Source organism: Homo sapiens, chromosome 10 (assembly GCF_000001405.40).
Source record: "Homo sapiens chromosome 10, GRCh38.p14 Primary Assembly".
In the NCBI taxonomy this organism is placed as follows: Eukaryota; Metazoa; Chordata; class Mammalia; order Primates; family Hominidae; genus Homo; species Homo sapiens.
The window spans coordinates 104,003,851-104,031,285 of record NC_000010.11 but is presented as its reverse complement, the minus strand read 5'-3'; the positions used below and the strand labels follow the sequence as shown (position 1 = coordinate 104,031,285).

Below are 27,435 nucleotides of genomic sequence, written 5' to 3'. Positions count from 1 at the left end.
TCATGTTTAATGTGATTCGTCTGACCAAAGAAAGATTAAAAAATAGTCTGGGTTAATTGGGTCTGATTCTAACACTGTTTATTACAAACACAAGAAAACAAAAGTGGTTGTATTTTGGGGCATAGCTTCTGGTATTTCATTCAATCCCTGAGGTCTTCAAAGGCAAATCTTTAGATACCTGCAACTATGAACTCAATCTGGGGATTTTACAAAGCACATGAAAGTTTTCCCCAAGCATAAGTTATTTGAAATAAACATGCAACAAATGAGCAAGAAGATTACTTGCAATTAGGTAGTGCTTTATCCTGGGGCAATGGAATTATGATTGTAGGGCAAGTAATATATGGAATATAGAAACTTCTATTAAAGAAAAATGTACAAATCTCAAATGCCCCAAAGAAATGCACAGTAAAATCAGACACTCCAATTGAGAAGAGACTCTACTTAGCCACTTTGTGAATTTGTTACAAGTTGTGACTCTCAAATTGCTGGATAATTAAAAATGGGATTAAATTGCATCTATTTCTACACCACTACTCTTCTAAAAAGACTTTATTTTCCATAAGGTCTCTGCTGAGTATCTCATATTATCCCAGAAAAAACACTCCACTTGTTTCCTCTATATCAAACAACCGCTAACGGCAACAACCAGTCAAGCACTACACACTCTACGTGGTCTTTTTGCCTCTTTTATTATATCCTGATAATTGCCTGCTATGAATTAATGAGAATTTTTTAAAAATAAGGCTGGGCGCGGTGGCTCATGCCTGTAATCCCAGAATTTCGGGAGGCCGAGGCGGGCAGATTGCTTAAGCCCAGGAGTTCGAGACCAGCCTGAGCAACATGGCAAAACCCCATCTCTACTAAAAATACAAAAAAATTAGCCGGCATGGTGGCGGGCACCTGTGATCCCAGCTACTCGGGAGGCTGAGGCTGAAGAATCACTTGAACCCAGGAGGTGAAGGTTGCAGTGAGCTGAGAACGTGCCACTGCACTCCAGCCGGCAAGACTCCATCTCAAAAAATAAAACAAAAATAAAATAAAAATTAGTTCATACAGCCTCCAGATTTCAAACAACTTGAGTTTTACTAAGCAAAACTATTGTGTATAATAAAGGAATTGTGCTTTTTAAATAATTTTTTTTCAAAAGAATTCATTAGTTTTACCCAAAGGCTGAATTTTTTACTTTTTAATTGTAGCTTTTACACTTATTAAAAGTAACTTCCAAAAAAAGGGGGGAAAAAGATGTTTTGACCCTTTAAAAAAAAGTAGCTTTAGGGGTTCAAGTATTATATCCCCTTTAATAGTGATCCTTATCTTGATTAATCAAGACATAGGAGTTTTTTCCTTGTTACTAGATCTACCTAAGATACCCAAAGTCTTCATCAAGTTTTAGCTCAAGTAAAATAGGGTACAAGTCCAAACTTACTACCTTCTCTGGACAAAACTCAGAAAGAGGATGGGCAGATATGAGGTTATGTCCTCAGCTGGATGGCAATGGATGTTAGCCTCTTTTGTTTCATTTTTTTTTTTTAAGTCAAGAATGAGCTCAATAGTGCACAACGCTCCCAGATTAGAAAATGACACTCCATGCCTCCCTCCAGCTGGACACGTGCCGAGTGATGCTGCCTAGCGTCTACTGAATCTTGCATGAACGTTATCAATGACGAAGAGACTATTTTTGCAGAAGTGAGGTCATATGATTTGTGAAATGCTTGGTGAGAAAAATCATCCATCCCAAGAGGAAAAGAAATTAAAAACATACACATATATACATAGGCTGATAGAAATATTTTAAGCACCTCCCAAAGGAGGGGTTTGCATTCTGAAAGACAACCCCCAGCAAGTTATCACTAAAAACTACATTTGAGTGTGTGTGTGTTTGCGTGTATGCTGTGGACTACACACAGCTAGGAATACTAACTCTGGAAGGGTCAGAAGACCTGCGGGGACTGCAAGTTTTACAATATAACTAGGACCAACAACTGCAAAGTGTTCTCAGGCAGGACACTCCAGTTTCAAAGATTCTCAATAAAAGACTGCTTCCCAAAATTGATTAAGAAATAACTTTATTTTTCATGTGTCAATCCCATGATTGAAAAGACATGTTGCTCTCAAGTAGATAAGAGGCATAATCTTAAACAAAATTCTTTCTGAAAATTTAGCTTATGAACTCATTACACTGCAAACCAGAGAAGGAGCACAAAAAGCTGCAGCCCACATTGAAACCTGGCAAACACTCTCCGCCAAAATTAGTAGCAGGAATGTTAAAGCTTTATCAAAAACATGTCAGCAACGGAATAGCAACAATACAGCCATTAACTGTTGTGCCTTCAACTTAAGAAAAGCATTTAAAGAATCACCCCATTTCTTATAAAAATCATTTCTCAGAAAAGAATTGTTAATCAAAAGACTATTAGAACTGGAACTCTCTTCTTTCACTTCAGTTCTAGATTTTCTTTAATCAACAATATCTCTAGTTAATACTTGGACAGAATTTGGCTTCTCAGAAGAGTCTTTGTCATTTAAGCACAGTGTGGAATGGGAAAAAGTGTATAGTTACAAGGAAACTAGAAGAGTACAAAAAAATAGTCACTTCTGAAACTCGCTGATGCTCAAGAAATCAGAGACCCTTCATTAAGGTGGGTCTCATATGCCTGAGAGCTTTGTGCTTGAGGAAGTATGACTTAGAGGTAGCTCTGGTTCTGGTAATTTATATTTAATTATAATTTGCTGTATCCTGTCACAAGAGAGTTCTAATATTTTCAGCAAAGTAAAAGCATTCAACATTTTTTCCTTACCCACCCTATAGCTTCCCCATAGAAAAAGATAAGAAAAAGCTTAATGTGACTCCACATAGAATAGCAGCTAATTCAGCAATTCGCACTGTATGGTTGTTGACAGGACTAGGAAAGGCAGCCTAGTGCCCCAAGCTGTAGGAGCTGGATCTGCAGAAGTGTGCAGGTCTGCTGTGTTCACAGCACTCAGGGAAAGAGGGGAGGAGGTGGCTGATGAGGGTGCACGTTCGGAGAAGTCTGTATGTGTTTCATGGCATATTCTGCCACAGCAACAAAACAACCAAATCAGCAGTAGATTTGACTGTACCCTTCGATTTCAAAGAAGTCTGCGCCCCTCGCCCACTCGCCACCTACACTTCATGCAGGAAAGATAGATCACTATCATCTATTTGAATACAGGGCCTCAGAAGAGGTGGGCTGGTATGGGTACAAACAGCGTATTTTATAACAAAACACTTTTTGAAAAGATTTATATAACTTTAAGTATTAAAATGAATGCTTTACCTCTACATATGTATCACTGTACAGTCTTGCACCCACACGATTATGGTCATATTTGAAAGCGAACTCAAGCACAAACACTGAATCCAAAAGGCAGTTTTAAGGGAGATCCAACCTTACCCACAGCGCCAACCATTCCACTCTGAGCCTCTCTCCTTGAGTCAATAATCTGAATGTCAAGTTGAAAGGAACAGAAAGAATCAAATATTCAGACCAAATTAATCAGGCACCACACACTATTTAGCGCACAGGGTATCAATTAAATGATACTAGAAAAAAAATGTCTACTGCCTGAGGTATTCATTTTTTAAAAGTCAATAAACTGAAAATTTCAAAGGAGAAAGTGGTATGAAGACGTTCCTTCCCAATCCCTCTTCAAATAAATCATTAAATACACTGGGCAACATTATACTGTCATTTTTATCATAACAATATAAACAATTTTTATCATCATCCTGAATATTACTTTATAAAGATATATATTTTAAAAGGCTTTCAAAACATTTTTCAACCCAGCATTTGAGAATAAAGCATTAAGAGTTTTGTATACAGTAACACATTCATGTGATAAGTGTATGAATTTACAACCATACATAATATGTATATATGTATATATATTTATATAAAAAACAAACTTGGCCAGAAGTTAAGGCTACCTACGAAGTTGTCCAAGTAAATTATGCTTGTCAAAACAATTATAAAATTCAAATCACACATGCATTTTTAAATCATCTAAATCACTGACAAACAAGGTTCAGCATCCAAAGTTTTCAAATTAACTGCAAGAAAGTGCTACAGACATTTACATTTTCTAAATATGAATCAGTGTTCCCACAAAGTTACATTTAAATTTTTCACCAGCCTCAAAAGTAATATAACTGAAAACAAACTTTCACAATTTGGTACCTAGCACTCTTAAGAGAGAATAGGTTGAAAATGGCAGGCAGCAAGCATCATTCACAAATGTGCTGTCTCAGACAGCAAAGTACAGTTTATAATACTGTCTGACCTGACACGTGGTTGAAATTCTAAGCCTCATAAGGGACTAGGAGTGAACATTTCATTAATAATTACACACACCAGCAACCACATGATAAAGGCTTCAGGCTTTTCCCACTCAAATCAAAGTGAATGATTTAAACATGGAACAAAATAAAACCAAGACATAAGTAGCCTCATTTCAAAATAAGGAAAAGTAATTCCTGACGTGCCTAAATATTTAATTTAAACTTTTAAAAAAGTATTCTGAACTAATGCCTCTTTTAAGATTAATTTCTGAAGATATATTTATAAATATAACTCACAGCCTGCAGGCCTCTGACAGAGTTTTAAACAGAATTAGCTAAGATGGAGAGAAATCATTTAACCAGCTCAGGTATTATTTTAGAAAATAAACACAGATAGCTAAACCTATATTGCTTAAATTTCATGAGTTTTACATTTCCAGTTTGCAATCTAAAAGCTACCTCTTTTTTTCATCTTTCCAAACTTTGTACATGTATTTTAGGATGAAAATTTCTATCAAACGGTAAGAGAAGCAAAAATTCCAAAACAACCATGTTTTTAATTCTAAAGATGTTTTTGTCCCTGTTGATCAAAAAGAAAATCCTACTTACGACTTGACTGAAATTTAGTGTTTTAGGCACTATCTTAAGAAAATTAGCACCCTCAATTATTAGCTCATGCCAAAAGAGGTAATTCGTTTTGACAAATCACTGAAATAATTTTTCTCTTTTAAAAGAGGTTGTTCCTATTTAAAGAAAAAAATATATTCATTTACTGAGTCAACAGCATATTTGAGCAAATCATAGCTTTTTTATGAGAGCTGATCCACCAAAAGAAAATTATCCCAACTCTCTGCAGCAGAGCTTCAACTACAGAATTTAGGCATTGAGAAGTTACGTCAGGTAAGAAGAATTTATTAATACTTAGTGATGTAACAGTTTTTCTTAAATAACTTTAAACATTATTTCTCCAACAGTTTTCAGGTAGCAGTGTCTAAAGAACATAATTTTTAAGATGAATATACAAAGTCACCTTAGTCACCAAGATGCTACTTTGCCAACATGGCCTAGCGTCTGTCTTAGTTCGTTTTCCCTTCATCTTTGCTTAAAAACAAAACAAAACAAAAAAAACAAAAAAGGAAAACACCTAGAAGGTGAGGCAGGTGATTGTCTTCATGAGCTATCTGAGAGACTGTGGCAGAAGATGAGAACAGAATGACATACTGAAAGAGCCAAACCCACGCACAGAATGCTTCCCTTTGTTATGATCCGGTGGAATGCAAGCTGGGAATAGGATAAAATTTGGAAATCCGGCTCTGTGTTGATGGGTTAAGGCATTCAGACTCCCCAGTCATTTTAAAGAATACTTCCTGTTCCTGTAGTTTCCTGGCAAACTCTTCTTCCAGTGTCTTAAAAAGAAAGGGAAAAAGAAATTGCTATGTGCTGGTATTATATATAGAATTTATGCTGACAGCCAAGATAAAACTACTTGTCCAAAACACTTTCTTTGTATATAATCCTCAAGAAGACACGCCTGCTCAATTTTTTAAGATCATAAGCTTTGTACAGCCCTATGTGCAAGTCCAGCTCAGCCACATAAATGGACAATTTGGGTCCATTACTTAACTTCCCTATATTAGAGAACCATTTAATTCCTCAATTCCTCTGCTGTAAAAATAGGGATAATTTGCTATGTGAAGTATAAATGTGATAATGATGTACTTACACATACTATGCACTCTAATATATGGTACCTATTATTAACTATTATGTGTTTCTCCCACATGGCACTTACCCCTGCCTACTTGTTATTTTAGTTACGATGCGCCTGTATTTTCTTTCACACTAGACTATAATATAAGCTGTTTAAAGGTACAACTTAAATCAGAATCATTTTTATCCCCATAATACAGAGCAAAAATAAGTGCTTGAGAAATGTAAGAGGCACCATTGTGATGTGAATGTCTGTGCCCCCCAAATCCATATAAAAACCTAATCCCTAATGTGCGGATACTATGCATAGAAGGTGGGACCTCTGAGAAGGGATGAGGTCATGAGGTAGAGCCCTCCAAATGGGATGAGTGCCTTCATGAGGGGCTAAAGAGAGTTGTTATTCCGCCCTGTGAGGACACGGTGAGAAGTCGGCAGTCTGTAACCCAAATGAGGGCCCTCATCAAAGCGTGACCGTGTTGGCACCCTGGTCTCAGACTCCCCAGCCTCCAGTTTATGGCATTTTGTTACAGGTATCAATGACTTTGTGGAGAAGTGATTCAGGGATAAGTGGTGCTGTAGAGGTACAAAGCACAGGAAAAGAAGGAAGGATATAGGAGGGGTTCTCAAAAGAGGTGAAACATGAGCTTAGTGCTGAAGGAAAGATAAGAATTTGATAGGGAGCATAGGGAAGGCATGCCAGAAACAGAGCCGAAACACAGCACAAAGGCAGGAAGCCGAGGAGCTGGTATGAGGAGTGGCCATTATACCCAAGGCTGGAACCTGGACTGGGAACAAAGTGGCTAGTGGGAGAGGAAGCTAGAAAGGGTGACTGTGACTCAGGTGTGGCACTATGAAGGCTTCACAGTCAAACTGAGGCATTAATTTACATTTTACTCTGATGGAACTGAAGATTTCTCAACATCAGTATGACAGTGTCAAGAGATGTCCTTGAGGATAAATCCTCCGGTGATGGCAGGCGAGTGGGAAGAAAGGAAAGGGAACTAGAAATTAGAAGGCCCATTAGGAAATTCCTGAATAATTTAAACAAGCACCAGGATAGCAGTGAGAAAGAAAGGAGACACATTATGAAAAAGAGTCCAAATTAATTGGCGCCTGATTGAATGTAGGGTGTGACAGAAATGAAAAATAATTCTGGTTTCTAGCGTAGATGTCAGTTAAGAGAACAGGAATGCAGAAAAGAACATCTGATGGTGAGTGGCCTGCAGTGAGCGCGGAAACGTGAGATGGAGATGAAGGAACATCTGGCAGTGAGTGGGCCTGCAGTGAGTGGGGAAAGGTGAGATGGAGATGAAGGAAAAGGATGCTGAGTTTGGTTTTCTCTCTACTGAGTTTATACTCTTTAGTCAACACTGAACAGGTATGTAGTCATCTGTACAATGTGCCAGGAACTGTTCTAGAAACTGGGTACATATCAATAAATGAAGCGATCATGGCATGCTTTTAAGGAGTTTATATTCTCACTCGCAAGAGGGGACAATAAACAAATGTGTCTGGTGGTGATGAATTGTTACAAAGAAAAACAAAGAAAGGAGAGCAGATACAGAATGTTTGGGGTTCAGTATAGGTGCTACTGAGATACAGTGACCAAAAAAGGTCACAAGGCCTAGGTGAAATGAGGAGGAGCATAACACCCAGATGGAAAATGGGCGCTTACTGCCCAAACTGATAATAAAAACAAGAAACAATAATAGCAACAGCAACCATTCACTGAACCATTACTATAGCTCAGGTACTAGATAACTGCTATATAAACAACACCAAATAGGTAGTATCACTCTCATTTTACAAATTAGGAAAACTAGGCCTAGAAATGGTAAGTGAGAAAATTAATCAGTAAGTGTCAGTACTGAGATCTGAACACACACCTGTATGACTTTACAATTCATGCTCTATACAACTGCTACCATTTAAGTTTTGGAGTTGTCTATCTGCAACAGTTGAAGCCATGACTAGCAATAAAATCATCAAGGTAAAGACTGTTCTTTACTACAGGGGCAAAACTGAGAAATGTCTACATTTCAGGAGACAAAAGGGGATAAAGAACACAGAGAATGAGCAGAGCTGTGTCACAAAAGCCAGGTGAGAGGAGAATTTTAAGAAACAAGACTTTTAAGGAGAACAGTTAGATAAGGCCATAGGATTTGACTATTAGCAACTCACTTGTGACCACTGTCAACTAGTTCAACTAGGGTGTTTGAAGCAGATGCTAGGCTGCAAGTAGGTAAAGGAGATTTTACACCGTTTACAATTCTGTACCTTTTGAATTCTAAACTACATGAATGCATTACCTATTCAAAAAGTTTAACAATAAAGAAAATTTAAATTAAAAAGCCACACTATGGGCCGGGCATGGTGGCTCACGCCTATAATCCCAGCACTTCGAGAGGCCCAAGTGGGTGGATCACCTAAGGTTTGGAGTTTGAGACCAGCCTGGCCAACATGGCGAAGCCCCGTCTCTACTGAAAATACAAAAATTAGCCAGGTGTGGTGGTGGATGCCTGTAATCCCAGCTACCTGGGGGGCTGAGGCAGAGGAATTGCTTGAACCCAGGAGGCGGAGGTTGCAGTGAGCCGAGATCGCACCATTGCACTCCAGCCTGGGCGACAGAGTGAGACTCTGTCTAAACAAACAAACAAAAAGCCACACTATGAACTCATTTAGTCATTTCACTTCCTTTGGCACATAGCTAAATACATATTTCCTTGACTGATTGTATGGATGGAAGAAAGGAATGGTGGAAATGTACAGTAGGCAGGAAGCTCCCCCCAAAACAAAGGTTTAAGTTTGAGTAACGAAGGGTCAGAGATCATATAGTGATAGCAAAAACTCAGGTGAAATGGTTAGCCAGTAAGACCAGGTGAATAGGGTGTCAAGCACAAACAAGGGAAAGGGGTGAGACAGAGAAGACACCATCCCTATTTTACCAGATTTCAAGTTTACGTAGAATAACAGGGCCTTTTAATATGGCTCCAGTTGACCTGTTCAGACTCAGCTGTCATCGCTTCCTTCCTTCCTTCCTTTTCTTCCTCCCTAATGACTACACACTGGCACACACCCCCTCTCATACTCCAATGTCAGAGAACGATCTACAATTCTCTGTACGCTTCCTTTTCACTCATTCTCTTCTCCCTACTCAAATCATCCCATTCCACTCCAATCAGCCCATCCGCTTAGCAAGTTCTTACTCACCCTTCAAGACTCACTTGGCTTGCAAGGCATCTCCTCTTGAAGACCCTCCCTGACTTACCCAGGCAGATTTAAGCTCTCCTCCTCCTCTGCTTACAAAATCTGTTCCTTTCCCTTGTATCCTGTACTCACCTCCTTCAGAGCAATGACCCTACCAATTCCTAACTGCTTGTCACTAGATTCCAAAACTTCTGGGGACAAAAACTTTGTCTTTTCATCTCTATGTTTCCTGCCCCTGACACTGTACCTGACACAGTAGGTAAAGAGCCAATAGCTGGGTAGACGGACGAGTACACACATATCATTTTAATTAAAGCTTTTAAAATTACCTTTTTCCTAGGTCTCAATTTCTCTCTCCACTCCTTTAATTCTTGGCTATGTTCCTCATCTAACTCCTTCAGTTTCTGAGTCTCATGCTCAACCAACAAGTGGCATTTTTCATTCTGAAAATAAAGTTGGGATTTAAAAAAATTTCAGATCAACTAAGCAATTTTTCACAAATACAATTATCTTCCATAATAATAAATTACTCATCAAATATCATGCTATTACTGAGATTCAAGTTTTCCTCTATAAAAACCAAGGGCCATGAATTAGGAAATGAATCATAGCTTCATTTTTACAAGTTTAGAAGCTAGAACTATTACATACCATATAAAAAGAACTTAAAAAGAACTAGCTTGAGCTTTTGTTTTTCCTTTCTAAGAAGATTTGCTCATAAAACTGACACTTCAGAAGGCAGCCTGCATACATTTTACCCGTGAGTACAGAATGTGGGATCTGGTACTAAAGGGTTGGCCTAATAGATCTATTCCTGTAAAAGATCTATTGGCCCATTAGGCCAATCTATTAGGATCTGTTCTACTATAGTAAATTAAGCAAATATATAGATACCCACATTTATACACTACTCTGAAATCTTAAACATTTTAGATGGGCTGTACATTCTATGTAAGGTCCTAAATCAGCCCTCTCTCGAATAACTTTTAAATTTCCTAGGAGAAAAATTCCCATATATTTAACTTATCACTTATTTCAAAAACCTAGAAGAAAATAAACTATTTCCCTCTAAATGGAAAAGAAATTTTAAATTTAGAATCTGACAAAAAATTCAGAATATGACAACAAAACTGTCTACATCATTTTGAAACTCTCCACATCTTCTTGCAAAATATACTAAAAACCATACTCAATACTGCTTTTGAAAGACTCAATTTCGTAGGTTACAATTTAGCTTTATGTTTACATTAATCATGGTTATATATAATCTACACAAGTGCCTATGATACCAAACTGATCTTCATTTGGATCTGTACAAAAAACAGAACCTCTCAAACCCAGCATGTTCGTGTATGATGCAGTTGACTTTGGCTAGCTACTGTTCTCTCAAAAGCAGCCACTTGTGCTGCCGCATCCTATGGGCTTTGCTGTCAGGCTTCTGTATCTGACCTGCAGCTGATGCAGTTCGCGGACATTGGCTTCACACTGCAACTGAAGATCTCGCATTTGATTCTCATGTTTCTGATGCTGAGCCATTCTCTCATTTTTCTGCCTCTTTTCTTCTTGTGCAGCAAACTATAAATAAGAAAAAAAGATAAACTATAGTTCAGAAGCATGTGATTTCTATATATTCTGAAGATATAAAGGAATTTAACAAAACAAGGCACAATAAACTGAAGCTACAAGTAATAATATGCTGAGACTCAAACCTGGAGTCCACATCACAGCTTCAGAGAAGAGCAGGAACTTCTGATTAAAACCTTGATCCTCCTATCTGCTTAGTGATCTGAGTTAATTTGTGTGTGTGACCATGACTACAGAAGTATCACAGTGAGGCCATATATCTTGACTTGAAAAGTTGTCCGAGTCATCTCATTCCCAGGGCTGGTCTTAGGACCAGTCTAGCTCAGGAGCTGGTATGGGGTATAGGAGGAAGGGCTTTGCTCTCTGTGACCACCATCCTGGGGAAGACTAATTGGTATATGCCATGTATCTATAGTCCCAGCCCACAGAATTAAAGTGAACATCAACAAGCCTAAGGTGGCTCTAATTGTTTAGAAAGAAAGGAATTTTGTAGAACTTCTAATGGTCATTCAAAAATTTTAAACCTAAAAGAGAAGAGACTAACTTGCATATTTACCTGTTTAATTTTATCACGGTCCTGATCTGGTGTGGCTGTTGAGTTAATTCTCAAACTCTTCTTAAACATGGCCATTCGAGTCTTGGCTTCACTGCGCTGAATCTTGGGCAGTCTTGCTCTTTCTTGAGTCTGTCTGTTTTTCAATTCCTCAATAAGTCTTTGATTGTAACGCTGCATTTGCTCTGTTTCCTATGAAAGTTTTAAATAGAATCCAGTGACGCAGAAACAATAGTCAGTACCCACATGCATATTCAAATATGTCATTTTGTTATTGTTGTTTCCTATAATTACCCTCTCCCTTGTTGCAGTGACCAGCAAAATACTAGGCACAAAATAACTTGTAAGAAGTTAGGCTAGGTCTGGTGGCTGACACCTGTAATCCCAGCACTTTGGGAGGCTGACATAGGAGGATCACTTGAGCCTAGGAGTTTGAGACCAGCCTGTGAAACATAGTGAGACCCTGTCTCCACACACAAAATTTTTTTTTTTAATTAGCAGGGTGTGGTGGTGCATGAATGTACTTGGGAGGCTGAGGTAGGAGGATCCCTTGAACCCAGGAGTTCGAGGTTAAGTGAGCTATGACTGAGTGCCACTGCACTCCAGCCCAGGTGACAGAGCGAGACTCTGTCTCAAAAGAATAAAAAGAAAAGAAAGTTATTAGTGATGAGAGTTTTATACTGCAACTCTTAATAAGTACAAGGAGTCCATACTTTAAGATACTTGAACCACAAATAGAGCCAAAATAGCTACCTTTGAGAGCCGAGATGAAGATTACAAGGTGTAAAACGTCTTTAAGCATTGTAATTAGTTACTTTCCTTATAATTTGTAGAAAAGAAGTTTGCAATCATGATCAAGATACAATTAATTACTCCAAACTTCATCCAAGAAATTGTAGGATAAAAGACAGAAAGGAAATCTAAAATTCATTATCTAAGAAACTTAAGTTTCAAAACTAAATAGCTTTGCAAACTTTAAAACGAACAAAAAAATGAAGAAATTTTCCTTTCATTAACCTTCTCGTGGCGCTTAAGTAGCTGATGTCTTTGCATGAAATACTGATCTTTAAGCTGCTGTTTGAGCAGCTGGTGTTTTTCTTGTAAGTGTCGTTCTTCGAGCTCCCAAATTGCAGCTTCTCGAGCTAGAAGACAGCAGTTTTCAAAATGTCACTTTGCTCTTTTTTTACTAATGTACTTTGCTCTTCATTTTAATATTTACATAGAAGTATTCTAAATACACTAACTCGTACACACATGTTGACATTCTGAGCTGTCCAAGTGCAACTGTAACCAATGTAAGGCAATATCTATTACCTCTTTCCAGACTGTTCTAATGTCGTATAAACAGAGAATGTCCTACTCCGAACACCAAAATCCTATTTAATCATCTTAATAAGAAAGAAAAAAAAATCTAAGCTAATTTGTTAGGGAAGATAAGTACTTTAAATCCCATTCTAACACACGACCATTAGGTATACTAACAACTATAAGGCATAATGAGTACACAAAATTATTCAGATATATTTCCAGCATCATCAGGGCAAGAAGAAATTTTAAGGGTTATATGTTTACATTCACTTCTACTGTCATAAGGAATTCTACATTTTGCAGTATTTCTTAATTTTAAAAAAATTACCTCTCATGAGCTGTTGCTTGTTATTCAGGCACTCTCTCTCAATATTAGCTAACTCTGCCTTCTGCTGCTGGATGATCTTTTTCAGAGAGCCATCTAATTCTTGCTGTTGTTTCTGAACAAACTCTTGTTCCTATTAAAAACAGTTAATTGTCAGTTAATAAGTATCTAATGAACTAAACATCCATTTATCTATATGGCTGTATATATTAGTGGTTAACAAGATTTCCAAACCAAGTTTGCAAAGTTAGCTGGATTTTAAAATCACTAAAATTATATAGTACAAATGTATTTAGTCACCCAATTCAGTCTAAGAAAAAAGCATTAGAATACATAATATTCTCAACTCACTAAGAAGGATACATACAGAATAAGCATATAGCCCACTCATAATTAAAGTGCCCTATTACACTAGCATCTTTGAGAGAATGGTAAATTTGCAGCTTCTAAAACTGATTACTCATTCCACTATGGTGTGACTAAAACAAGGATAAATAAGAAATGCCCTTTAAGTGTCGGGTGTGGTGGCTCATGCCTGTAATCCCAGCACTCTGGAAGGCCAACACGGGTGGTTCTCTTGAGGTCAGGAGTTCGAGACCAGCCTGGCCAACATGGTGAAACCCCATCTCTACTAAATATACAAAAATTAGCCAGATGTGGTAGCGGGTGCCTGTAATCCCAGCTACTAGGGAGGCTGAGGCAGGAGAATTGCTTGAATCTAGAGGGTGGAGGTGGCAGTGAGCTGAGATCATGCCACTGCATTCCAACCTGGGTGACAGAGTGAGACTCCATCTCAAAATAAAAAAGAAAGGCCCTCTAGGAAAAAAGGCAATTAAGAGCTAATAGGTAAAACAGATATCAGAATTTGGGGAACTAAAGAGGAAGAATTTTAGGAAGAAATATCATGGCTATCCTAACAGAAGAAGATAGTTTCTGTATCTACAGCATGTGCCTAAAAAGAAGAACAATAGTTTGAGAAATTAATGAGAATGCATTGCTAGAGAAATGCAAACTGGAGATAGGAAAGTGAGTTACATACTATAAATCTATCAAGAAAATTTGTATAATCACAGAATTCTATAAACATGTTTCGGATTCACTAATTCATTCAACAAATATTTATTGAGTACATACTATCTACCCGAATGCCAAATTTCTGCTTTAGAAAAACATCCTTCAATTATTGTGCAAAAAAAGGAAATGTTAAAGTGACTTATGGTCTTTCTGCTAGAATCATACATTTACAGAAGAAAAGGAACAGCATCCAAATTAAAGAAATGTAAATTTGGATCTGTCCATCCCTCTCTTGGCAGTTACAGCAGGTGGTGATTGGCTCATGGACTATTCAATCAATTTTTGTGTGGATTTAGAATTTAAAATTGAAGCAGAATTTCACTTGCAATCCCCCCTCTTGCACATCCTCGAGAACATCAAAACCTAAGATGCATTTTGGAACTATTCTTGAGGCCTCAGAGTCTGATGAGGTCTGGATCACTGCCAGGCAGCTCCTCAAATGCACAGAGAGTCTCACTCCACTCCTCAGGATGGTTGGCTTGCTACCATCCTGAATCTCTGGAGGTGACACAGTTCATGTCAGAGAGTGAACTAATTTGGTGTTGTAAATGCTGCTGTTTCATCTGCATCATCATTTGCATTTTAGCATAAATACATATATAGTAGAGAAAGAAAAGACTAATGAATGCCTCTATAAAATGCAATTACCAACTTGGCTACAGTCACCTGTAAAACTTTATCATTAAGAAAATTATCATTGAAAAAATTTTCAATGAATATTTAAATTCAACTATCTAGAATATAAGGGCTTCTGAGTTTTAATTAAGAGATGCAAAATCTCCAAGCCTATCTTTTAAGTAGTTATAACAAAGTTGTTCAAGCTTTTCTTTTTCCTACTATTTGTAACAAAATTAAACTGTTTCTCTAATTTCAATTGTAAAATTTTTCTTTTTTTTTTTTGAAAGAGAGTCTTGCTCTGTCACCCAGGCTGGAATGCAGTGGCACGGTCTCGGCTCACTGCAAGCTCCGCCTCCCGGGTTCATGCCATTCTCCTGCCTCAGCCTCCTGAGTAGCCGGGACTACAGGCGCCCACCACCACGCCCAGCTAATTTTTTGTATTTTCTAGTAGAGACGGGGTTTCACCGTGGTAGCCAGGATGGTCTTGATCTCCTGACCTTGTGATTCGCCCACCTCGGCCTCCCAAAGTGCTGGGATTACAAGCGTGAGCCAACGCGCCCAGCCTCAACTGTAAAATTTCTATATACAAACTTGTTCAATAAACAACATAACCTGCAAAAATATCAAAGGGTTTTCTTTTGTTCAACATTTTTATCATTGGTTTACATACAGGATTAAAAAAAAAATCTGTGTAGACAGAAACAATGGGTCTAAATTAACTAGCATAAATATAAATCTTACATTTAGGCACAAAAAAATCAAACACAAAAGTAAAGGATGGGGTGAATAAATACTTATGGGAAAATAAAAAAGGTAAATATAAGCCAGTGCCACTAAAACAGTAAATGTAATTTCTCATCTATGCAATTTTTGTTCATATTACTGTATTTATGTCTAAATTAAACACAGTAAGAGTTCAATTCAAAGAAAACCTTTATTAAGCACTTAGTAAATGGTGGACACTATACTACTTAGAAGGTTACTAAAATTAATGAAAGAGAGTTCTGCCTTCAAGGAGCTTCCACTCAATTGGTCCCAAGTATCAACAGTCTTGGTCTCAGTCCACATAAAGAGTAGTGGGTCCCTTCCCTTAGTATCACATTTTTAAAAGTTCAAAAGTAAACCACAGAAAACTCAAAGCTGGGAATAAAGGGTTCAGAAACCATGCCTCACAATGACTGCCTGAAAGAACTAGAGAAGTGTTCCTTAAAGCAGCTAACTCCTAAAGGGTAAAGAGGAGCTATGACTGTTTATATACTGAAGCAGGCAGAACTAGCACTGTGTGGCTCCAGAAGTAAGATAGGGATCAACAGGTAAAAGTGAAGATAGGCAGATATAAGTCCAGTGTATACAAGTCCTAACAATTAGAGTTAGCAAAGAACCCAGCTGCCTTACAGAGCTGTAGACTTGAAAAATTAAGCAGAATCTGGATGACTATGTAGTCGGACACTGTATAAAGGATTTTTTATATTAAAGCTAAAAATTATCTGAAAAGGTCCCTTACACACTAATCAATATATTTCATTACCTCAAAACAAACAAAATGTTAATGTTATTACACATTCACTAAATTCCCTAACTTCAAAAGCCAAATACAATAACATTCACATGGAATTTATAATTAGAAATTACTTTCAGGTATGAAAAGAGCACTCACATTTCAAATAGATTACACAAACACACCTTAAAAAAAAAAAGATGAACTTAATCACTTGGATTAACAAATAAAAGACAACAACAAAAGAACCCAAATTATTAAGGCCAAAAATCATTTTTTAAAGTAAACACATAAATTGTAAAATGAGTGCCCTTTAAAAGTACAAGTTTAAATGTGGATAAACAATTTTATCATATTAATCAGATAACTATAAACATTAAAAATATAACTTTGGGGTCTAGAAAACTGTAAGAAAGGGTTATGATATATTGGGCTATTTGTATAGAATTTGATCATTTTAAATGAAAACAAAGGCTAAAAATGGTAATGATCAGAAAAGTGATCGTAATTCATAATTTCTCCCTCTCCTTTTAAAAATCAATGTTTTACTTACTCTCTTAGAAAACAGTAAAAAGTCAAACAGCTGCCAATAATAAAAAACAAGTCTAATTTCAGGAGAGGAAAAAGGAGGGGTTGAAATCAAGCTGTATTCTATCTACTCCTGTTGTATATATCAGACGTCACAAACAAAAATTACAGTGTTAAATGAGCTAGTTATTTCCCTATAGAAACTGCAAGAAAGAATACAGCTTGGAATTTCCAACTTAACTTAAAACTACAATAAGGAGAATAGAAACTCACTATTCATTATTGACTACTTGAATAAATGGAAAATAGAGTTAAACGGAATGAAAATCACTACTTTTAACATGGCTTTTCTGACCATATCCATAATTAAAACATCTACATAAACATATATGCAATCAAAATGTCACTTCACACGAAAATAAAAATCTAATCACAGCATTCAATTTCTCACATGTGCAAAGCTTATACTATTGAGAGGGTATTTTATTTTCTTGAGAAACATGAAAATCCCAAATTAGAATTTGTGGCGGGGTAGACAGAACACCGTGTTAAAAGTGCTCTAGTTCCAGCTCTACCGTTAATCTCTTATGTGACTTGAGGCAGATCACAGTCTTCTGTGCCTCAATTTCTTCATCTGTAAAATGGTTATATGACTCCATCCCTATATTAGGGTGGTGGCAATGAGAACCAAATGTGAAAACTCTGAAGAATACTGAAGTCTAAAGTCAGGTTATCACTATTATTGTCATTACAAACATTATCATGTATCAATCATCTAGATTTTGGCAAATGAAGCCAACAATGAAAAGGCACATGTGAAAAGGCAGGTAAAACAGGAGAAGCCATCCTCCCACAGGCACGTGGGACTTACGTCCTGCATTTGGGCGTTGAAGACTGCACAAGATGACAACTGAAAAGACTGAATCATGATCTGAGCAACACCCTGTGGATCAGAATAGAATGCACCTCCCAGGTGAGAATATATCTGAATGACTTTTTGTAAACGAAAAGAATAATTATACAAATGTTGAGTTTCTTGAGGCCTGGAACAAGTCACTTAACAGATGGACCTCTTTCTCATCTGTAAAATGAAGGATTTGAACTAGATCAGTGGTTTCCAAACTCTAGTGTGTTGCTGTTGTTTTTTAAGCTAGTAGAACCCCCTTTTTTAAAATTCACCCCCAAAAATCCCAGTTTATAAACCACAGCAAAAGTGGTGTTGCTTGAGTTGAAGCAGAAGCAGGGGCTCACAGCCCAGAGTTCTTGCCGTCTTAGGGACTCCCATAGTTGCTTCTTTCAAAGTCAAAATTCCTGTTAGTATAGTTTGAAAACCACTGGACTTAAATGATCAAATATGTTCTAGCTCCATGACTGTATGACCATTACTTATGAATTCTCAAAAAAAGTTTGAAATAGACTGTAAAGTTATAAAGCTTTTGTACCTTCGCTTAAAGCAGTAGATAGAAATACTTTTAATATTTGTTAGATTACTAAATTCCTCATTAGATTTACTGAAGGAATTTATGATTACTTTCAGCTCTACTCAGAAAATACTGGCCTGTTACCAAAATTATATGAAAAATCACCAACAAAGTCTTATTAAAACATAGTATTACCTAATTCATTCAACATTAATTCTCAGTTTTGACTTTAGAATTTGATACATGGCCTTTTGGAATTAATAAAAATCTATATTCCTTTATAAGGCAAAAACCATATTATTCTAATCTGGTTTGAAATCCAAATTAACCAAAAGTACATGTGTGGCCAGCAAGGACTTCCTCTTCACTTGGTAACAAGACATGGCCAAGAACCACTGAGTCAAGCTGACGAGAGTTTAAGTTGCAGCACAAGTAGGTAGCTTAAATATGAGAGGCAGCATGGTGCAGCGAATCAGTGTGTGAAACATGTACCCAAACTTATCTGGATGAGAATCCTGGCTCTACCACTACCCAGGTGTGTGACCTTGGGAGGGTCACTCAGCCTTCCTGTGCTTGAGTTCCCTCAACTGTAAACTGGGGGTAATAAGACTACCTCAAGGATAATTAACTCAGATTAAATAAGTTCATACACATAAAGCATTTAGAACAATGCCTGACATATAGTAAATGCTGCGTTTGCTATTAACCACCTTAAACTAGGAATACCCACACCAGGCCAAGAAAAAATGTTTCAATGGCTCATAGCAAGAAAAAAACAAAAGCAAACTAAATTTATTCAGACAAGCTAGTTTTATTTAATTTTTAAATTCTAAGATTATATTTTCCTTATTTTTCATGGTGTTAAAAATATTCTCTCCTTTGAAATGATGGTGACAAGTAAATGGCAGTTTTAAAATATCTTTACTTAGCAAAATTTAAAAAAAAATTTTTTTAATGGCAGCCCATGTCATGGTCCCCAGTGGTTTTTATTGTTTCTATGTTTCTTTTTATGGGTCTATAAAATCCACAAGTCTGGGAACCACTTGTTAAATCACATAAAACAACAAATTAAAAAGATAATTCAAAGGATCGATTAAATACACGATCCACATCTCTTCTTCCTTTCACTGACTTATGTAATGGAAAATTGAGCTCATTTATCCTTGCCTCCAGGCTTAGCATAAATTTAATCAGAAGATTCATCTTCCTTCATATGAAAGACTTGTCATGTGAGATAATTCTAGAAAATTCTGTTACAAATACTAATTTATCTCACTTCGTAAAGAATTCACCAAGCCGGTGGTGGTGGCTCACGCCTGTAATCCTAGCACTTTGGGAGGCTGAGGCGGGCAGATCACGAGGTCAAGAGATCGAGACCATCCTGACCAACATGGTGAAACCCCATCTCTACTAAAAATACAAAATATTAGCTGGGCGTGGTGGTGCATGCCTGTAGTCCCAGCTACTCGGGAGGCTGAGGCAGGAGAATCGCTTGAACCCAGGAGGCGGAGGCTGCAGTGAGCCGAGATCACACCACTGCACTCCAGCCTGGAGACAGAGCGAGACTCCAATTCACCAAAAAAAAAAAAAAGAATTCACCCATCTTATGACAAGGCTTAACTTTATCATAACCTAGATTGGGTTGCTTTAAACTCTATATAGGTAAAAATAGTCTATTTGTTTAACTGCTGGATTGTGAACCAAAAAGAAAAACAAGGTACTTAATATTTAAAATCCAGTTTTAAAGTTGCTTATGTTGTCAAGCTTAAAAGCAATACATGTTTGAACTACCATTTAAAGTTACCATTTGCTATTTTTCTTCTAACTGCACTTTATAGAAATAATAGCGTTTTAATGGGCATACTTTTTGTAAGCACAAAGCTTATATACCATCCTCTATTTTTATGTCCTAAAAGTTTTCTAACAAACATTGGCATTACTACTTAAAACTATAAGCTCCCATCAAGATTAAAATCAGATAACAGTGGATTATACATTCATATACTTGTTTATTTCATCTGGAGTCAACTTTCCAAACATTCCACTTAACTTCATATTAGCAACTTAAATGTCACCATTAGTAGGAATTTAGTATTAAATAAAGAAGATTCCAGGAGTTTTTGAATGGGGAGAAGTCAACATCATATAATAATAACACTTAAAATTTACCCTTTCAACCATGGTTTATCAAGCTGTGAGAAAATGGTGCTTTCTGGTTTTAGTAGCATTAAGCTGCTGCTGTTACCTGAGCATGCTGGCTTTGTGCAAGCTCCTCTTTCCTGCGTTTCATGAGCTCTTTTCTCAGCTCTTTGGGTGCTTTCTCCACTTCATTTATAACCTACAGTGTATAAGCATGCAGGAGGTGGGGAAATGATACTTTCTCCACAGCAAGCATTTATGAGAGCAGATAAGCTACAAGTCAAATATTAAAGTTGTTAAAAAGTTCCTTTCAACATGCATTAGCATAGGTGTTAGTCTGGTGAAAAAGAATGAAAGAAGAGAACATGCATAATCTCAGTGCAGAAAGGGACATTACACCACACAAAGGTTAATTAGTTGCTTAATAACCCTATGTATCATTCTCTTTCTTAAAGGTCCAAAGACAACCAGCGAAGAATTACTTGCAGCACTGATGCTGAACTACAGGTGATAAACTCAACTGACCTTGTTGAAAGATCATAAAATTATAAACGTATCTATTGACATAGTTGGAAATATTGAACATAAGGAAAGCTAATGCCATTTATAAAAGTGCAAAATTTCATAATTGGCTTGATCATACTAAAGAAATAATGCTAAATAAAATCTACTTAATGAGGCCAAAAACAAAAAAGGAAAGCAAGTCTTAGAATACACAAAGGAGAAATAAATGGATACTAAGTTTTTTCATAAACACACCATTTTATACACGGTGTGGTAAAAATGAATGTATCTGATGATCTTGAATAGGATTAGAATATTCCCCTTTGCTGACAAGTTAAGCTAAGCCTGTCAACTTAAAAATTGGTAATATAAGCACTCTTAAAAGTAAGTTTAGTAAGCTATGATTTATTATAGCAGATAAAATACAGAATGAAGTACATTTTAGAGCTCCTTCTTTTAATCATTTCAAAATACTAGAAGTATATTCCATCTAACAATAGATCTGTAATCCAACTATGAAAAACAATCATGTGTTTACAAGTAGAAGCACCAAAAGAAACCAGATTCCAAATCACCACATGCTATTGATGGTCCGTGAAAGAGACTGATTTTGATTTAACATCGTGTATTTAAAATTTCCCATCAGTAATCCCTCATGAAACCAAATCACCATTAAAAGGAAGAGACTCCCCAAATGCAAGAAGTTTAGCAATAAGGAAAAAAAAATACATAATGTAATTATTTAAAATATGCATATCACGATCTCAAACATGTTCGTGGCTGAAACTCTCCTACCCCCAAACAAAAACAATAACTGAGACTTTTATATTTAGGATTAAACCATATATTTATCTGTAAAATTTTTTAAATTTCACTGAGATAAAGAATATCTCAAAAACTACTTGAGAGAAAATTAACATGTAGCCCCAGTAATGTCATACCTCACAGTATATACAGCAATTCTACATAAAACATCAGAAATAGTAATAAAATAGTGATTTTTAGAAATGGAAGCCACATCAAATAAAATCACATACCATTTCATTCATCTTTATCTAAAGAAATCATAAAATCACTGTATTTATTAATGTTTGACTCTACCCTTTTTAAAGCAAATCCTTAAGATTCAGCAGTATGACATTCAATTTTCTTCTCAATTTAAATGTTAAAGTCAATGAATCTGGGTATTTGAGATGTGTAACAAAAGTGAAAATGCATTTATTAGTTTGGCTGAGGTTTCTGTTTGTTCCAACCCTAATAAAATTGATCACAATCATTGTCTCTGGTGTCTTTTATATCATGAAAAGGCAAATCGTCTTCCTATACTGAAGATGTTAATAAATTATAAAATTATCTCTGAAAATTACCTACATGTAAAGCTCTTTTAGTTTTAATTTGGGACAAAAAAAGATGCTAATATAATAAGTAAATCTTCCTTCTGAAGCAATGACAATCTTTTATACTGCAAACAGATTCTATAACAATATGAAACAGTTTCAGGAAACAATGAAAAAACTCATTCTCATCAAATGACTTTACAGATATGTTCCACTTCTAGTTCTTCGAAGTACCTCACAATTTGATGAGTTATAGATAGCATGTCAAATTTCAGGTTATTCAGCTTTTGTTTGGCACAATACCCATGAAAGGCAATAAAGCTAATCAACAAACAAAATCGTTAAAAGTATGAATTAAAGATGAAAAATAACTTATAAATAATAAAATGAATCACTGCTGCCACTGGCAAACACAACATAGTAAGTTTTCTAAAAAATACTTTTATATAAGGACTTAAATGTGTTGCATTAAGGACAATGGTAGACCTTAAGATGGATTAAACTCAATTTGAAGACCTGATTCAAGGTTTAGCTGGATATTTAGGGGTAGTCTGTGAACAGGTCATTAAAACCTCTCTTGAGGTGAACTTAAACAGGTCACTAAAACCTCTCTTACTCCAGTTTTCTTGGCAGTAAAATGGGAATAATGATTGACCTTATGACAACTCTATATGACTGTTGAGAAGACCGAATGAAAGAATGAATAGGTGCTATTTAACTCTCAAGTATTATTAGTATTCCTAAATCCTTAGATAGTCTTAAAACAATTTTTTTAAAAAAAAAGCTTTAGTAATTAAAAACAGTAGTTTACACTTACCTCCTTCTTTCGGTTCTTCAGCATATTCTGAAATTTGGACAACTCTTTCTCTTGTTCTCCTTTGATGCGTTTGGCTTCATCTCGCAAGCGATTTGTGTGCTCTTGTTCCAGGCGTTCGATAGTCTGTTTCTGCTGTTTTTCTAGATTCTCAATTTCCTGGTCATATTGTCGCTTTTTACTCTGTAAAACAATATAGCTCAAGATGATAACTTTTCCATCACCCATATTAATACCTTATAGTAAAGATGTTTCCTAAGAGAACATAACTAGTATTTAAATTTAGTAATGTACTATAACCTTCACAATACTGAAAAAGTCAAATGCACTAAAATATGTTATGAAAATTCTCAAAAAAATGAGTTCTTTTTTTCTAACATGGAAATTTTTTTTCTATTTTATTTATTAGAGACAGGGTCTCACTCTGTCACCCAGGCTGGAGTGCAGTTGCACAATCACAGTTCACTGCAGCCTCGGCCTCCTGGGCTCAAACTATCCTCCTGCTTCAGCCTCCCAAGTAGCTGGGACTACAGTGCATGCCACCATGACCAACTTATCTTTTTATTTATTTATTTATTTATTTATTTATTTGGAGAGATAGGGCTATCACTATGTTGCCTAGGCTGGTCTTAAACTTCTGCGCTCAAGCAATCCTCCTGCTTCGGCCTCCCAAAATACTGGTATTACAGGCATGAACCACTGGGCCTGGTCTTTTTTTTTTTCTTTTCTGTTTTTGTTTGTTTTTTCTTTTTGAGACAGGATCTCCCTCTGTCGCCCAGGCTGGAGTGCAGTGGCACAATCTCTGCTCACTACAACCTCCGCCTCCCAGATTCAAATGATTCTCATGCCTCAGCCGCCTGAGTAGCTGGAATTACAGGCATGTGACATCCTGCCTAGCTAATTTTTCTGTATTTTTAGTAGAGACGGGGTTTTACCATGTTTGCCAGGTTGGTCTCGAACTCCTGCCCTCAAGTGATCTGCCCACTTCAGCCTCCCAAAGTGCTAGGATTACAGGAATAAGGCACTGCGCCCGACCCAAAATTTGTTTTCTATTATACTAGTAGAATGTTCAAAGTTTTTAGATTATCCAGAAGAATAGCTAATTGTTGTGAAGTAGTAAGGCAAATCAGAAAAATTTCAATATTTATCCAATAAAATTTTTGATAAATCAAAGAGCTTATTTGAGGTCTACTTTAATAAAATAATATTATTAATAATATCGCCATTATTTAATAATAAGATTGTCATTTTCAGATTCAATCTTCCACATTAAGATTCTTAAAATAAACACCTTATTCTATTGGAACAGATCTTTTGGAATTATAAATCTACTCTTGCAACAAGACTCCTGTTTATATAACACTCAGTAACACTGTTTTTGAATACAGGTATAGTTACTTATTTGTAATGGATGTTTTCTTTTTAAAAAAATTGAAAAGTAAAACATTTTAGAAAGTATGATGGGGGAGAAATACAGATTTTATAAGGTTTTGGAAAACAATATAAGTACTATAAAAATACTCAATGAGAACAAAAGTTCACTATTTTCTTAGGAAATCTCAGTTATGATCCAACTCATGTAATCAACAATCCACAGTTCACACAAAACAATCTTTATCAATTAAAATTACAAGTCAACACAAGGACTATATTCAAAACATGAGTACTGTAACATTTCAAATGATACTTTTTCTAACCTACATTAAGGCAGATAGTCAACATAAATTACAAAAATTTTATATTACATTACTAATTCCTTTTCCAACTTTGGACACAAGGCAAAAACTGAAGGACTCAGTGACAGCTACCCAGGACTAGTCAGCACTATTTCCTCTAGCAGCAGGAAATAGAGATGTGGAGGCTTAACTGTAGAAGCCAGAGAATAAAGCACATTTTTAAAAAGCCCCTGAGGAGTCCTACTGCTCAGCTAGGTTTGAAGGCAATTGCTCTAAACTGGCTTAAAATCTTGGATTCCAAATCTGAAAGATCGAATTAGAGCACTGAAAAATTACCCAGCAATAGGCAAATCTAGGAACTTTGTTTACTGGCTTCATAAGTTTTCATGAGAGAAAAAACAACCCATCACACCATAAACCAGCTTAAGGTAGACTGGGATAGAAAATCCTTTCAAGAAAAAAGAATAAATCAATAAAAGGCATCCAGAACACCAAAAGGGTAAAAATGCCAGAAATAAATCACAAAGCTAGAGAAATCTGGCAATCAGAGAACAAGTTCTACAACCTTTTTTGTTTGTCTGTTTTTAATGCAGTAAATGTCATTATTAACACAAAATGATATAAAATGGTATAACAATCAGACTTTACCATCATTTCCTGCTCAAAGCGCCGGAAAATTTGTTCTCGTTGTTGCTGTAGTTTGCTATTGAGCTGTTGTTGGGCTCTTTGCTCTTCTTTCTGAAGAAATCTTAATTCCCGAAGTTCCTGACGTCTGATAAAATTTAATGGTAATGATAGAGAAGACAGCAAAAATTACACTTCTGAAATACGTTTTTTTTTAAAGCTTTAAAAATTTTCTTTCGAGTGGAACGGTAGTAAAAGAATAAAAAAAAATTAGCCAATAATTTACCCTTGTTTCTCTATTCTTCTGACTTTTCAGAGACTGAAAAGAAGTCACAAACCAGTTTTAATTACGTTGTTTCTCTACTCACCTAAGAAACCGCAATTCTTCAGTTTTGGAATCACTATCTGTAACTATCTTTGATGTTGTTACACTCACTTCTACACCATCAACAATAAATTTGCGTGTTTTCTTCAATGTTTTCTTTTGTCTTCTTGTTTCCTGAGTGAGATTTTATTTTAGTTAGGCTTTGTACAAGGAATACTGGAGGTAGAAAACATTTTCTTCTTCCTTAAACATTTCTTTCTTTTTTAAAACAAAACAACTGAACAGCCATGCAGACTACACATAGAAAGTATAAATATAAAGCAATAGACTCATCTGTGGAACCAGTTATAACACCTTAAACGTCATCTGACTTACACGTCTTTACAGATGAAATCAAATTTTTTCAAAGTATGCATTTTGATCATCTTCATGTATAGCTTTTATGACACATTATAATTAGGCATAAGTGATGAGCAGTTCACATAGCTAATCAGTAGAACTTTACATGTTATCCTTTTTTTTCATCTTTTCAATTTGTAGTTTCTCAGATACCTCTGCTTTTTCACTGACAAAACAATTAAAAATGAATTTGTGGGGCTCATCTCTTAAAAAAAAACTAAATTGACAGGTCTGAGGGTAGCTGGAAATCTCTTTTTTTTGAAAAAGCTCTCAGGTAATTTTTAAACACTGCCAGCACTGGGGATCAAAATCTACTTAATCAGTAACAATAATATCGACAGCCCCTCCCTCCATCTCAGGGCCAGAGATATATGTATGATTTTAGGGTTACTAGAAAGACAGTGCCTCTGCTGCACCCAAAAGTACCAGATTTGGCTGCTAGCTATGACCTAAAATTCTTTATTAAGACTAAACTCTTCATTCCTCAACTGGTATCCAAAAACATTTAAATGCAAACAGAAATAACAGACATATAAGACTCCTACAAATACATTTTGGTAAACTAAGTGTTCAGGGCAGATACTTACTGGGTGTTGATATGGAAGAAAGGGTTAGAAGGCAGAGGAAGCAAAAATGGAATGTGAAAATGCTAAACTCAAAATGCATCCAAATTTTAAACAGTTTCTCTTTGGCACCTTCCAATCACCTTTCTGCATCCTCTCCTCTTACTGTTCTCTTCTCCAAGCTTCCAGGATCCTCATGCTCTTCTTCCAAAGTCCAGGACTATGGTACCCTACCCAGGATTCCTCTAAAATCTAAAGTTGGCAGACTCCAAAAAATACACCTATCTACACCTTAACCTCCAAACTTCACATTTCTTCAGCTCCTACTAAAAGTTCAATAATTAATATCTTCTTCATTCTTATACAAGTTATTTGCATTTTTAAAAGAGGCTATTAAGTCAGTGAATGAATTTCAGAGTGGTGGTTATTTCAGTCAGTGAAAGAAAGTAAACTGAAAAAAGAAGAAAATCCTAGGAATACATGTAAGAAAATCCTAGGAATTTGGGGCAGATAGGCAGACTAATCACTCATGCCCTAGAGATCCATCTATGTCAGTTTTCTTAGGTTGTTCCTGCTTTTCTGTCTTCTCTTCTGCTACTATCAACCCAGAGGGTCTAGGAAGTATTTTCCAAGGGGCAGCCCATGGATCACCTGCATCAGAACTCTGTGGGATCTTTTTTTTTTACAAATAGTGATCCTTGGGACCCACTCCAGACTTCTACATAGCCGCTAGTAACTCCTAAGCACACTAAAATTTGAGAATTACACTCAAAGCTCCAAGTGTTCTGGGCTTTAGTGTTTGTTTTGTTTTCCCCACAATGGTTCTCATGGCAGTAGCAATGTCTGTGACTGTATGGGCCAATGGTAAATCAAGGATTGTTTACACCCTAAATGTGCTTAAAAAGACATCATTCTTTCAATT

General features: G+C 36.2%; 1 protein-coding gene across 4 annotated transcripts in view; it reads right to left on the bottom strand.

The window, feature by feature from the left end:
• The window catches only part of SLK (STE20 like kinase), a 62,094-nt gene continuing 36,711 nt past the window's right edge, over positions 2,053-27,435 (bottom strand). For 2 of the 4 annotated variants that reach the window (NM_014720.4, XM_011540401.4), the window contains 10 exons: positions 25,595-25,725; positions 25,251-25,374; positions 22,930-23,109; positions 20,378-20,470; positions 12,997-13,126; positions 12,378-12,502; positions 11,364-11,552; positions 10,673-10,798; positions 9,553-9,666; positions 2,053-5,712 (listed from right to left, as the gene is read on the bottom strand). In NM_014720.4, coding sequence (NP_055535.2) covers positions 5,566-5,712; positions 9,553-9,666; positions 10,673-10,798; positions 11,364-11,552; positions 12,378-12,502; positions 12,997-13,126; positions 20,378-20,470; positions 22,930-23,109; positions 25,251-25,374; positions 25,595-25,725 — 1,359 coding nt within the window. In that variant the 3' untranslated portion in view covers positions 2,053-5,565. The remainder of the gene's footprint in view (positions 5,713-9,552; positions 9,667-10,672; positions 10,799-11,363; positions 11,553-12,377; positions 12,503-12,996; positions 13,127-20,377; positions 20,471-22,929; positions 23,110-25,250; positions 25,375-25,594; positions 25,726-27,435) is intronic. The other 2 variants (NM_001304743.2, XM_047426039.1) reach the window with 1 other exon arrangement.